The sequence below is a fragment of the Homo sapiens genome, chromosome 5 (genome assembly GCF_000001405.40).
Source record: "Homo sapiens chromosome 5, GRCh38.p14 Primary Assembly".
In the NCBI taxonomy this organism is placed as follows: Eukaryota; Metazoa; Chordata; class Mammalia; order Primates; family Hominidae; genus Homo; species Homo sapiens.
In genome coordinates, this window is record NC_000005.10 from 71,037,795 (window position 1) to 71,050,650 (window position 12,856).

A 12,856-nucleotide genomic window follows, 5' to 3' on the forward strand; every position below is an offset into this window, starting at 1 on the left:
AACCCCATCTCTACTAAAAATACAAAAATTAGCTGGGCATGATGGCAGGCGCCTATAATCCCAGCTACTCAGGAGGCTGACGCAGGAGAATCGCTTGAACCCAGGACACGGAGGTTGCAGTGAGCCGAGATGGTGTCATTGCACTCCACACTGAGCAACGGGAGCAAAACTCTGACTCACAAAAAAAAAAAAAAAAAAAAAAAAGAATAGCAATAATTAAAAAAAAAATTCCACAGTATATACAAGGTCATCTGACAGCCCAAAATTTAGTTTTTATTTTCATTAAGGTTAACTGTGAGCATGCTTTATTTTTCTTTGTTTTCGAGTCAGGGTCTTGCTTTGTCTCAAAGGCTGGAGTGCTGAGGTGCTATCACGGCTCACTGCAGCCTCAACCTCCTGGGCTCAAGTGATCCTCCTGCCTCAGCCTCCTGAGTAGCTGGGACTACAGGCATGTATCTCCATGCCTGGCTAATTTTTTATTGAGGCAGGGTCTCGCTATATTGCCCAGGCTGGTCTCGAATGCCTGGGCTCAAGCAATCCTCCTATCTTGGCTTCCCAACGTGTTAGGATTACAGGCATGAGCCACCATGCCCAGCCAGAAGCACTTTCTAACGTTTGTTTGATAGTCACTTACTCTAATAAGTGCTACTTTGTGATTCTTCACAGTTTTTGGCTATGAATCTCCAACTATGAAAGAAGAGAATTTAATTATCTTTCAATCATCTTGAACCCAGTAATGCATAAATATTTAACTAGTGTCATTCTCAATTCTTTCTACATAGTGAAGTCTTCCTTTTGGATAGAACAATAATCAATGTTTAGTTTACTATGCCTATAAAAATATTCTCAGCTAAGCCATAAGTTTTCCCCTATTTAAAACATTTTTTTTTTCCTGGAAATACTGTGTTGCTATTCCCAAGGTTAGTTTCCTATATAATTGACACTAATTCAGGCCCAATCTTCTCCGGAATAGTCTAACTGTCCTCTCGATATGTTCAAATACATCAGGAGTTCTGCAGTTTTCATCCCCTTGGTGATCTCTCTCCTGGAGCATCCTGACTGTCTCCAAACTGGACGGTTCCCCATATGTGACACACAGGTATCATTCTGGAATTTCTCCTTACCATCATCCTAGGCCGTTCTTCAGCCTGTTTTGAATTAGATACATATTACTAGATCCCATGTCATTCTCCTTCTCAGTTCCTTTGAATCACCTACCTCTTCCAGACCTTCCCCAGAAAAATCTCTTTTTGAGACCTTACAAGTCTGAAAATGTCTTTATTCTACCTACACTTAACTGATAGTTTGGCTGGGTATCTAAGTTGGTAACAATTTTCACCACAAACTTTGAAGGTGACTGCTCCCTCTCTGCATCCGGTGTTGCTAATGAGAAGCCAAACAATTTTAATTCCAGATCCTTTGTGTGTGACCTAGTTTTTCCTCTCTGGAAATGTTTAGGGTTAATGGTTTATTGTGTATTCTGAAATTTCACAATTATGGGGTCTGCCTTCCTTCAATACGTTAGGCACTTGGCAGTCCCTTTCTTTTATCTTCGTTGCAGAGATGAGGTCTTGCTGTGTGACCCAGGCTGGCCTGGAACTCCTGGCCTCCAGTGATCCCCCAGTCTCAGCCTCCCAAAGTGCAAGGATTAGAGCTATGAGCCACCCTTCCCAGCCAACAGGCCCTTTCAATCTAGAAAGTTCTGTCCTTCAATATAAAATTTCTTTGAACTATGTCTTTGATGATTTTCTATCCTACTTTTTTTCTTTTTTTCTCGTATCATTCTCATATTGGACCTTCTGGATAATTCCACCAGTGAATATTCTTATCTTTACTCTCCTATTTGAACCTCTTTATTTTACTCCTTTTATTGTACTTTCTGGAATATTTCTTCAACTCTATCTTCTATAGTACTGGGTTTTTCATTTTTACTACATTTAACCTCAACCATAAGCAAATAAATACCAAGCTAAAACAATGAGACTTTTTTCTTTTTCTTTTGCCTGTGAGTTTTGGCCAATATAAAAAAGTTTCATAATACCTAATGTTGGCTAAATGTGGGAAAACAATAAATGAAACTTCTTTGAAGAACAACTTTACAATATCTATCAAAATTCACAAAACATGTAAAACTCTTGACTCAGTAATTTTACCTCTAGGAATTTACCATGCATTTATACTTGTACAAATGTTCAAAAATATAGATATAAGCATTATTTGTTAATAGCAAAAAAAGAAAATCTTAAATATCCAACAGGAAGCAATTGATTATATAAACCATAATTATACCTGAAATATGCAACAATTTCAAAAACAACATTGATCTAGATATGGTGATATTGAATGACTTCTAAATGATTTAAGTGTGAAAAGCAAGATGGATACATAATTGTTTTTGGCTAGCCAGTAAGTGTTTAATGTGATTCCTAAATCCTGGATGTTCTTTTTTTTTTTGATGGAGTTTCGCTCTTGTCGCCCAGCTGGAGTGCAATGGTGTGATCTTGGCTCACTGCAACCTCCACCTCCCAGGTTCAAGGGATTCTCCTGCCTCAGCCTCCTGAGTAGCTGGGGATTACAGGCACCTCCCACCACACCCGGCTAATTTTTATATTGTTAGTAGAGACGGTGTTTCACCATGTTGACCAGGCTGGTCTCGAACTGCTGACCTCAGGTGACCCACCTGCCTCGGTCTCCCAAAGTGCTGGGATTACAGGCGTCAGCCACCGTGCCAGCCGATCCTAGATGTTCTTAAAAGTAGTAAATCTTTATTTTCTGAAAACTATTCTCTAAAGGATTGACTACCTCTATTTCAGACCTTATTTGTTGTATTTCACACAAATAGCATTCGTAAAAATACTTAAAGATTTTAGATAAATTATGTTATGCCAGATTTTTTTTTTTTTGAGACGAAGTTTCGCTCTTGTTACCCAGGCTGGAGTGCAGTGGTGCGATCTTGGCTCACCGCAACCTCTGCCTCTCGAGTTCAAGCGATTCTCCTGCCTCAGCCTCCCGAGTAGCTGGGATTACAGGTATGCACCACCACACTAGGCTAATTTTGTATTTTTAGTAGAGATGGGGTTTCTCCATGTCATTCAGGCTGGTGTTGAACTCCTGACCTCAGGTGATCTGCCTGCCTTGGCCTCCAAAAGTGCTGGGATTACAGGTATGAGCCACCATGTCCAGCTTTTTTTTTCTTTTTTAAGAGACAGTGTCTCACTATGTTGCCCCAGCTAGTCTTCAACTCCTGGCCTCAAGTGATCCTCCCACCTCAGCCTCCCAAAGTGCTGAATGAGCCTCTTATTTTCAGTAGTGTGCTAGGACTGGATTGTACTGGATCAAAAGGATATATTGTTAAATATGTATTCAAGAAAGCTGGTTGTTAATTGTAGCTAAAAATTGGCCATGGTGGGAGTATTCAAACCATGGAAATCAGCAAATACTACCAATCAGGGCTTTTTTTCTTTTCCTTCTGGAAAACTGATTTAGTAGTACAATCATCACCCCTATTTATACATAGGTGGGTTTAGTGAAATTATTTGGTTTCTGGAGATTCAGATCTATTTAGCAACGAGTCATTTCAATCATAACTATGGCATTCTTTATCTCATCTTCCATATTAGAAGTACTCTTGTCCAAGTTAATCAGATTATTTTTTAAGGTAGTAACAATCTATTCAAACATTAGCTTACCACTTATAACAGATATAAATTAGTCCAAACTGAAATACCTTTCTCCATTATATTCTTCTAGGGGAATTTCTTGAAAAGCATCCAAAGGAAACAAATGATGGTAAGACCGTGCCAAGTGGGGAGCAGACACCAAAGTAAGACCTAACACATTAAGCAGAGAGACATGTTGAGTAGTCCAAACCTCATGAAGACAACGGCTGAAAAGCCAAAAGATGTAACTTCAGCAGAATATGTTCAGTTTCTTTTAGGATGGCAGTTATTAATTTTACCTGTGGCTATAACAGAAGATTGTAGGATGGAGTCTTAGTTCTGTCACTAAGTGTGTAACCAACCTGTCTCGGTCTATTTGCTTACTTATATTATAAATGAAATAAAATTCGACAATTCTATTAGTTTAATTCTTCATTCTTATATATATTTACTTTATAAAGGTAAGAGATGGAAAAATGTCTACTACATCTACTGCACTGCCTTTAAAGAATATACTTTTTTCAGAAAGAGGATCAGGAAACTAGAATGCTACATTTATACGTGGAAGTGGAGTACTGGGCACTCAATTTAAAAAGTAATCTATTTTTCTTTGCACAGATTAAATCCAGAAACATAGGAATAACTTAACATTTACATTAATTTTAGCAGCAATACAGATTAAGAAGTCATTCAAGATTTACTGAATAATGAATAGTTGTTTTCTTACCACAGATTTTACACTCAACAGGTAGCTCACAGTACTTTGCCCGACACTGTGGGCAGAAATAGCCTCCTAATGTAAGCCCTGGCTCAGTATTGCCATCCAAATGCCTGTAGGGGGAAAAAGGGTAATATATAATGATCTGAAAAGTTAGAGCGGGAAAGCATGCTATCTTGACCTTAAAATCTTGACACTATTTAAAAATCTATTTAAAAGTCTGTATTTTTGGCCGGGCGCAGAGGCTCACACCTGTAATCCCAGCACTTTGGGAGGCCAAGGCGGGTGGATCACCTGAGGTCAGGAGTTCAAGACCAGCCTGGCCAACACGGTGAAGCCCCATCTCTACTAAAAAATACAAAAATTAGCCAGGCGCCTGTAATCCCAGCTACTTGGGAGGCTGAAGTAGAATTGCTTGAACCCAGGAGGCAGAGGTTGCAGTGAGCTGAGATTGCACCACTGCACTCCAGCCCGGGTGCCAAGAGTGAAACTCCATCTCAAAAAAAAAACAAAAGAAGTCTATATTTAAAAAAAAAATTTATAACTTTTTGTAGAGATGGGGGTCTCTCACTATATTGCTGGTCTTGAATTCCTAGCCTCAAGTGATCCACCTGCCTTAGCTTCCCAAAGTGCTGGGATTATAGGTGTGAGCCACCATGCCTGGTCTAAAAGTCTATTTTAAAATCTGTGAGTATGTCTTATAACTCAATTATGCTACATTCATTTTTTTCCCCCTCTTCATTTTTTTTTTTTTTTTTTTGAGACGGATTCTCACTCTGTTGCCCAAGCTGGAGTGCAGTGGCACAATCTCAACTCACTACAATCTCCGCCTCCCAGGTTCAAGCAATTCTCGTGCCTTGGCTTCCTGAGTAGCTGGGATTACAGGCACGTGCTACCACACCCAGCTAATTTTTGTATTTTTAGTAGAGATGGGGTTTCATCATGTTGGCCAGGCTGGTCTCAAACTCCTGGTCTCAAGTGATCTGCCTGCCTCGGCCTCCCAAAGTGCTGGGATTACAGATGTGAGCCACTACACCCAGCCCTTCTCTTCATTTTTAAAGTCTCTATTACTATCTTTGAATTCACTAATTTTTTCTTCTGCAGTGTCTAATCTGCTGTTAATCCCAGCCAATATATTTTTCATCTAAAACACTGTATTCTTCATCACTAGAAGTTTGATTTGGGTCTTTTTTATACCTTCCATATCTCTTCTTACCATTCTCATGTTCTCTAACATCCTGAACATACAGAGTACATTTATAATTGTTGTCCTAACATCTTTGTCTACTAATTCTTTTTTTTCTTTTTTGATAAGAGTCTCGCTCTGTCACCCAGGCTGTAGTGAAATGGCACGATCTCAGCTCGCTGCAACCTTTACCTCCTGGGTTCAAGTCATTCTTGTACCTCAGCCTCCCAAGTAGCTGGGATTACAGGCGTGTGCCACCAGGCCTGGCTAATTTTTGTGTTTTTAGTAGAGATGGGTTTCGCCATGTTGGCTGTGCTGATCTCGAACTCCTGGGCTCAAGTGATCTGCCCACCTAAGCCTCCCAAAGTGCTAGCATTACAGGCAGGAGCTACCGCACCCAACCCTTTGTCTATTAATTCTACCAACTGGGTTATTTCTGGGTATGTTTCCATTCTGTGATTTTTCTCCATTTTATGGGTCATATTTTCCTTTGCATCCCTGGTAATTTCTGCCAGGGACTATGAATTTTGCTTTGCCAGACATTGTGAATTTTGCTTTGTTTTGGGGGCTGGATTTTTTCTTTTTCTTTTTTTTTGTATTCCCTCAAATATTTAAGGGTTTGTTCTGAAATATACTTCATTAACTTGGAAATAGTTTAATCTCTTCAAAATTTGCTTTTAAACTTTGGTAGGCTGGTCTAGAACAGCTGTTAGTCTAGATTTTTCTTTTCTTTTCTTTTTGCCTCTGGTTCCAGTTCTTGTGATAGAATTAATTTGATCCCATTACTGTGGACTCTATTCAATGCCTGTCATGTTAAGAGGTATTTCCATACAGACTGGTGAGAACATGAATGTTCTCTGTGTGAGCTCTGGAAACTGTTCTGTCTGCTGCTTTCCAGTGATTTTTTCCCTGACTTCCAGTAGTCTCCTCACACAAAAGGGCTGATCAACGCTCAGCTGCTGACTCATGAGCAAGTCTATGCAGCTCCCCAGAGAGTTCTCTCTGTGCAGATCTTTCCTCTCCAGTACTCTGACCTGCAAAATTATCGCCATCTCAGCCTCCTTGAAAGATGAACTTTGTTTCTTCAACTCAACAACATCTCCAGCCTCTGTGTGCAGCCTGGAAATTCCATCCAGGCAGTAAGGTGGAGTGCTCTTAGGGCCCATCTCATTTGTTTCCTTTCTTTCAGGGATCATTATCAGCAAGGCTTGCTGTCCAACGTCTGAAAACCACTGTTTTATATATTTTGTCTGCTTTTTTTGACAGGAGGGTAAATCTAGTCCCTGTTACAGCTTTTTGGCTGGAGGCAGAAATCTTGTTTGTGATTTTTAAGAATTACTCTCTTAAATTTAATTTTGTTTTATAATTATGTAAAATACAAAGCTCTGAAGTTAAAACAAGGTACAGTAATATTCTATATAACATTTTGGTCAGTGATGAACCACATATATGACAGTGGTCCCATAAAATAATACATTTTAGTTGTACCTTTTCTGTGTTTAGTTAAACAAACACTAGGTGTTACATTACAACTGCCTACATTATTCAGTACACAATATGCTGTACAGGTGTGCAGCCTAGGAGCAATAGGCTATACTATATAACTGCGATGTTAGTAGGCTACACTATCTAGGTTTGTGTAAGTGCACTCTGTGATGTTTGCACAATGATGGTATCACCTAATGACACATTTCTCGGAATGTATCCCTATCATTAAGTGATGCATTCAGAAAAGTCTAGGGTCTAACCCTTTGCTTTTCCCTACACACTCACTGAGGTAAACATTAAAAAAAAAAATTTCCCCCTCCACCCCTTTTAAGTTTTTATTATTTCCATACTATTGTTTTTATTATTAACATAAACAAGTATATACATCCACTTACATCTCTACTTTCTTCTTAGGTGATTAGCAGCATACTACAAAATTCTCTCAAACTACTGTTTTACTTAGTAATTTATCCTGAAGATCACTCCATACAAGTATATAGAGATAGTCTTCATTGCCTATCTTTTGAATTTATAACTTAAAAGAAGGAATTAAAAATGTAAAAACATTATCACTGATATTTTCAAGGTCTTTACTTACGCCATGCTGAAAGAGGGTTTTGCATCCTGGTCAGATAAAGAAGCAATGGTGTGCTGAGGAAATCCTTCATAGAAGAAAATGTATTACTTTCTTTTTCCAAGCAAACAGCAGAATTCTAGGACTAAGAACCTAAAAATGTTCTTCTCAAAAAGCCAATGAAGTTGTACAAAATATCACTTTACTGCCTTTCAGATAAGCTTATTATAGCATGATGAAACTGACTAATTCCAAGCTACAAGAAAAAGTAGAGGAAATGGGGGAAAGACCTGTCTATATATGACCTCAGATTCTGAAGTTCATATATATATTTTTCTTTTTTTTTTTTCTTGAGATGGAGTCTTGTTCTGTCACCCAGGCTGGGGTGCAGTGGCATGATCTTGGCTCACTGCATCCTCCACTGCCTGGGTTCAAGCGATTCTCCCACCTCACCTTCCCATGTAGCTGGGATTACAGGCATCCGCCACCATGCCCAGCTATATATTTTCTAACTTAATGATTAACACTACTTTTTAAAGAGGTTGTAATTTTTACATCATTTCTGATAAAACTGAAGATATCATAGTACACCATTTTATCTACGTTTATGCTTTTATGTTTAAAATTTTGAAATGCTCAAATCTTTCATGTAATTTGTTTTCCATATACAATTTTAAATTCTGAAAACATGTTCAGGAAAAGCAGAAACCATTTTTAAAAAGATATATTACATAAAAAATGTAAATGTATCTACATATCAAAACAAATAAATAAAAGTAAAGGCAAATAACCAACAAGAAAAATATTTGCATCGGGTGACTGAGAAGGGTTAACATTCCTAAAGGACTCTAATAAATAAATTATAAATTTAAATAACTTTAAAATGAAATAAGAAAATATATCAGTAAATCAAAAAGATTAGCCAAACATAAGATCTAAAATGTATTGAATGTTTACATCAAGCATTATTCTAAACGCATCATCTGTATTAACTCAATCCTTGAAACACACAATAAGGTTGATAGTTACTGACATCATTAAACACATGAGAAGACCGTGGAAAAGAGAGGTCGACTGGTAATATAAAAGGCCAAAAGTAGAAAAGCATTTTATTTCATTAACATTTAAAAATATACATATTAAATAAGGAGATTATTTTTCTATTAAAAGTTATACTTTTTTCAATATAAATGTAATAAATTTTCATTGTAACATTTTTGTAAAATAGAAGAAAATAACATTTTAAAAAAGTGATCCAAGGCCGGGCACAGTGGCTCAAGCCTGTAATCCCAGCACTCTGGGAGGCCGAGGCAGGCGGATCATGAGGTCAGAAGTTCAAGACAAGCCTGGCCAACATGGTGAAACCCCGTCTCTACTAAAAATACAAAAATTAGCTGGGCATGGTGGTGCCCGCCTGTAATCCCAGCTACTCGGGAGGCTGAGGCAGGAGAATTGCTTGAACCTGGGAAGCGGAGGTTGCAGTGTGAGCTGAGATCGCACCACTGCACTTCCAGCCTAGGAAATAGAATGAGACTCCATCTCAAAAAAAAAAAGAAAAAAAAAAGTGATCCAAAACCAATAATTTCCCCTCCTTTGAGCAATTTGGTGTACTTCCCTGCAAGCTTTGTCTTTGCACAGTTTGCATTACACAGCTTTGATCATCCAGTACAGAGAATTTTGTAGCTTATTTTATTTTTATTTTATTTTATTTTTTTGAGACAGAGTCTTGCTCTGTCACCCAGACTGGAGTGCAGTGGCGCAATCTCAGCTCATGGCAACCTCCGCTTCCTGAGTTCAGGCAATTCTCCTGTCTCAACCTCCTGAGTAGCTGGGATTACAGATGTCTGCCACCATGCCCAGCCATTTTTTGGTAATTTTTAGTAGAGACAGGGTTTCGCCATGTTGGCTAGGGTGGTCTCAAACTCCTGACCTCAGGTGATCCGCTAGCCTCGGCCTCCCAAAGTGCTAGGATTACAGGCATGAGCCACCACGCCCGGCCTTTGTAGCTTATTTTAAAAAATTTTTAATATAAGTGTTTTTCTTTTGTTTTCTTTTTTGAGACAGAGTCTCGCTCTGTCGCCCAGGCTAGAGTGCAGTGGTGTGATCTCGGCTCATTTCCAGCTCTGCCTCCCGGGTTCATGCCATTCTCCTGCCTCAGCCTCCCGAGGAGCTGGGATTACAGGCGCCCGCCACCACGCCTGGCTAATTTTTTGTATTTTTAGTAGAGATGGGGTTTCACCGTGTTAGCCAGGATGGTCTCGATCTCCTGACCTCAAGATCCGCCCACCTCGGCCTCCCAAAGTGCTGGGATTACAGGCGTGAGCCACCGAGCCCGGCTTAATATAAGTATTTTTCTATAAACACAGTTTATACCTTTCTAGCCTTAAAAATAAAGAAAGCCAACAGTATTTTCTGGGTGACAGGACTACTGGTAGTTTTAATTTTTTTTTTCCACTTCTCTGTACTTTCCAAAATTGCTTCAACAAGCATATTTTTTCTTTAAAAATTCTTAAATATTAAAATAACTTGTGCAAATGAAAATGGAGAGCCTAGATATGTATTTTTTAAAAACATAAAAACACTTACCCATACGAATAAGTGAGCATTCAGAACTTGAGCTAGCAGGAGGAGGACTAACATGATGTGTGAGCAACTCTTTGTAATGGCTTTCATCTAAAATAACATGGTACGTGCCTAACAAGATGAAAAGGGAAAAAAAAACACCTTCATAGACATAACGAACTGTACGTTCTATGTAATTCTGTAAAAGTTGTATCATCTGAAAATGTACATTTTTAAAATAATGATTTTAGCTAAATTATCACTTTTAAAACCTTATTTAAGTAATATATCTAAATCAACTTCTCTAGGAATAACTATAATTACAATTGATTATTATTACTATTATTATTATTTTAACATATAAATAGAGACAGGTCTCACTATGTTAACCAGACTGATCTCAAACTTCTGGCCTCAAGTGATTCTCCTGCCTTGGCCTACCAAAATGTTGAGATTACAGGCATGAGCTATCATGCCTGGCCTGTAATTACAATTTAATTAAAGACAAGTTATAAAATCTTTATAAAGAATTACATACAGTAAAATTTCCAGCTTTCCAAGAGTTATAATACCTCCTCTAAATACTGACATAAGTACTGAAAACTCTTTGCATTTGGAGATGATTTCTTATGGAATCAATGATATATTTAAGATGACTGCCCATATTTTAGACTACTTTAAGTTTAGTAGCTCAGAACAGATTAAAACATCCTAATTTAATTAATAAATTATTTCCTACACAGTAATTATAAGCAAATATTAAATAAATTATATATATACCACCAGTTTCACGAGCAAGTACAGTGCAAACGCGAACTTCTGCAGACAATCCAATAACAGATACTCTAATTTTAGCTGCCTTTAGGGTCTTCATAAAATCCAAGTAGATAGATAGTTTTAGGAAAGAAGAAAAACATTTAAGATTTAATGTATTTGAAAAATAAAGAATGCTCTGAAAACTAGTAATAAATTCAATACATCTACCACAAAGATGAATCACACATACAAAAATACATATATATATAAATCAATTTGCTACAGAATTCTCTTTACAGTTATAACTTTGGTTTTGATTTTTTGGTCTACCTTGATTAGATCATAAATATTAGATGGATCGCAAGTTGTAAGGCTGCTAAAGATGATTAGTACTTCTCGACTTGTATGTCCAGGCATGTGTCTTAAAAGAAAGATAAAATACACTCCAATTAGGTACAACAAATTATACTACCAAAAAATTTACCCAGAAAGAACAGTAAACATAGGATTACACATTTAGACTATAGAATATCTCATTTGTTTCAACAATGCAAAGAAAGGTTGTGAGTATATTTTAAACACTTTAATGCAAATTTTTCTAAAATGAGCTATGCACTTCAAAAAATTGTTAATTGATTCATTTAATATTTACCAAGTACTCTCAAGTTCTGGGGGTAGAGTGATAAACAAGACTGACAATGTTCCCGACATCATTAAGCTTACATTCTAGTAGGTTTGTTTCATACAAAGTCTAGAGTATACAATAAAAAATACAACAATATATGGATAAACTTTAAACTAAAATGTGGCAATATCATATGGATCAGCTTTAAAGTGCAGAGATGTGGCTTCAAAACAGTAACACACACTTCTTTCTCAAAGACTATAGTAGTCCCCTCTTATCTGCAGAGGATACATTCCAAGACCCCCAGTGGATACCTGAAATCAAGGATAGTACTGAACCCTATATATACAGTCGTTCTTCGGTATCCTTGGGGGATTGATTTCAGGCCCTCCTATGGATACCAAAATCTGCAGATGTTCAAGTCCCAGATACAAAAGGGCGTAGTATTTGCATATAACCTATGTACATCCTCCCATATATTTTAAGTCATCTCTAGATTATTGATAATACCTAATACAATGTATACTATGTAAGTAATTGTTATCCTCTATTATTTAGGGGATAATGGCAAGAAAAAATGTCTATTTGTTCAGTACAGGTACAATTTTTTTCCAAAAATTTTTGATGCGTGGTTGATCGAATTCACAGAAGCAGAACCCAGGATTCAGAGGGCTGATTATACCATGTTTTTCCCTATACAGGCATACCTTGGAGATACTGCAGGGTTGGATTCCAGACCGCAGCAATAAAGCAAATATCACAATAAATATTTGCAATAAAGCAAGTCACATGAACTTTCAGGTTTCCTAGTGTATATAAAAGTTCTGTTTACGGCCAGGGATGGTGACTCACGCCTGTATTCCCAGCACTTTGGGAGGCTGAAGCGGGCACATCACGAGGTCAGGAGATCGAGACCATCCTGGCTAACACGGTGAAACCCCGTCTCTACTAAAAATACAAAAAAATGAGCTGGACGTGGTGGCAGGAGAATGGTGTGAACCCAGGAGGCGGAGCTTACAGTGAGCCAAGATTGCGCCACTGCACTCCAGCCTGGGCGACAGAGCGAGACTCCATCTCAAAAAAAAAAAAAAGAAAGAAAAAGAAAAGTTCTGTTTACACTATACTGTAGTCTAGTAAGTGTGCAACAGCATTATATCTAAAAAAAAAAGTACACACCTTTATGAAAAATACTTTATTGCTAAAAATCGACTGAACTGTCAGTGAATAATATCTTTTTGTTGAAGGAGAGTCTTGCCTTGATATTGATGGCTGCTGACTGATCAGAGTG

The 12,856-nt window shown here is 37.7% G+C and overlaps 1 protein-coding gene across 24 annotated transcripts in view; it reads right to left on the reverse strand.

Moving 5' to 3' along the window:
- GTF2H2 (general transcription factor IIH subunit 2) overlaps positions 1 to 12,856 on the reverse strand; it is a 32,330-nt gene that overhangs the window by 2,448 nt on the left and 17,026 nt on the right. For 14 of the 24 annotated variants that reach the window (NM_001395395.1, XM_047417131.1, NM_001395387.1 and 11 more), the window contains 6 exons: positions 11,274 to 11,364; positions 10,968 to 11,055; positions 10,212 to 10,319; positions 7,650 to 7,713; positions 4,387 to 4,490; positions 3,728 to 3,830 (listed from right to left, as the gene is read on the reverse strand). In NM_001395395.1, coding sequence (NP_001382324.1) covers positions 3,728 to 3,830; positions 4,387 to 4,490; positions 7,650 to 7,713; positions 10,212 to 10,319; positions 10,968 to 11,055; positions 11,274 to 11,364 — 558 coding nt within the window. Of the gene's footprint in view, positions 1 to 634; positions 688 to 3,727; positions 3,831 to 4,386; positions 4,491 to 7,649; positions 7,714 to 10,211; positions 10,320 to 10,967; positions 11,056 to 11,273; positions 11,365 to 12,856 lie in introns of all 24 variants that reach the window. The other 10 variants (NM_001364570.2, NM_001364569.2, NM_001395399.1 and 7 more) reach the window with 3 other exon arrangements.